General features: G+C 41.0%; 1 annotated feature.

The window, feature by feature from the left end:
* Positions 807-1,307: an enhancer, noted in NCBI's record as "H3K4me1 hESC enhancer chr2:140546670-140547170 (GRCh37/hg19 assembly coordinates)". NCBI's record gives its function as "activates a minimal SCP1, AML or CMV promoter by ChIP-STARR-seq in primed H9 embryonic stem cells {active_cell/tissue: H9 hESC(primed)}" and the evidence as "EXISTENCE:reporter gene assay evidence [ECO:0000049][PMID:30033119]".

Genomic DNA, 1,513 nt, shown 5'->3' on the forward strand with positions numbered 1-1,513 from the left:
TTTCTCTGTGTCCTGATGGCATCTGCTTTGCTTTCCCCATGTTCTCATCAGCGTGGGCTTCTGTCTCTGAGTCTGTGACCTTCACAGCATGGTCAGTTGCTAGGACCATCTCATCTAAATCCTTCTTGTCTCAGGCTCAGAACCTTTGTTTCATCTGACTTTCCTCAGGACTTCTGAACCTCATGAAATCCATAGCTGTTTACCCTCCATGATCCTAATGTCTCTTAACTTTAGCAAGCTTCTCTTGGAACTAACAAACTTGTCCTGCCTGGCTAGAGCTTCATGACTTCTTCAAAATCCTCATAGTTTCCTAGACTATGATGAGGATGAATGGGGGCTGTAAGGGAAAACTCTGCTGCCCCCAAGTCCTTCTAAGCCTATCTTTGGTTTTATCTTCTACAGTTTCTACTGCCCCTCCCCTGAGACTCACTTAGGATACAGTCATGACTTGTAGTCCTGTCAGAGAAATTCACGCACCCTTAAGGTCTCTGTCTTTATTTAAAATTTGGATACTTCATTTGTCGTGGATTTTTTTGAAACATTGCATTAAAATATTACTTATCTTGATTACTGAATTTTTTGGTACCCCTTAAATGTAGCACCCAAGACAAGTGCCTTTCTTGCCTACTGCCAGCAAGCTCGCTTCTTCCAATGTTCTCCAGTCTTCTCCATAACCTTTGAATTATAACCTCATTTGAGTGGGAAACCAGCACTTAAATTATCATTTGTCATCATTACCTACATTTGCTTGTGGATGATCTTACTGCTTTGCTCCCTTTGGAGCTTGGCTTTCTGACTCTCAAGATCCTTTATCTCTTTCAGAAAACGAACAAACAAAAAAATACCTGGCACATTAAATGTATTGACTTTTATAACTATTGTTTTCTGCCACAAGTTTTTCTAAATAAATATATTTGGCGGCTCAATTGACTTTGTTTATTGATTGATCTATTAATTTATCAATTGCCAGTCACAGCCACTCTCTCCCCAAAGGAAACACATATATAAAGCAATGATTTTTTTCCCAGTGAATAAAAATGAGTTAATATTTTAAAATATTATCCTGCAATAGTTGTAATAATAACTAAGATAAGACTAGACTAAGTAGAAAATTAGTTGGCCAGTATTTAGCTTCTACAATGGAGATAAACAGATAATAAAGTAACTTATTTTTTTTTTTTTTGAGATGGAGTCTACCTCTGTGCCCAGGCTGGAGTGCAGTGGTGCGATCTCGGCTCACTGCAAGCTCCGCCTCCCGGGTTCATGCCATTCTCCTGCCTCAGCCTCTCCGAGTAGCTGGGACCACAGGCGCCCGCCACCACGCCCGGGTAAATTTTTGTATTTTTAGTAGAGACGAGGTTTCACGTGGTCTCGACCTCGTGATCTGCCCGCCTATGGCTTCCCAAAGTGCTGGGATTACAAGTGTGAGTCACCGCTCCCAGCCAAAGAAACTTTTTAAAAAGACAAGAGGATAAGGAATGACCAACTTGACTATAAGCTCCTCTGAAGTCCG

The sequence above is a fragment of the Homo sapiens genome, chromosome 2 (assembly GCF_000001405.40).
Source record: "Homo sapiens chromosome 2, GRCh38.p14 Primary Assembly".
In the NCBI taxonomy this organism is placed as follows: Eukaryota; Metazoa; Chordata; class Mammalia; order Primates; family Hominidae; genus Homo; species Homo sapiens.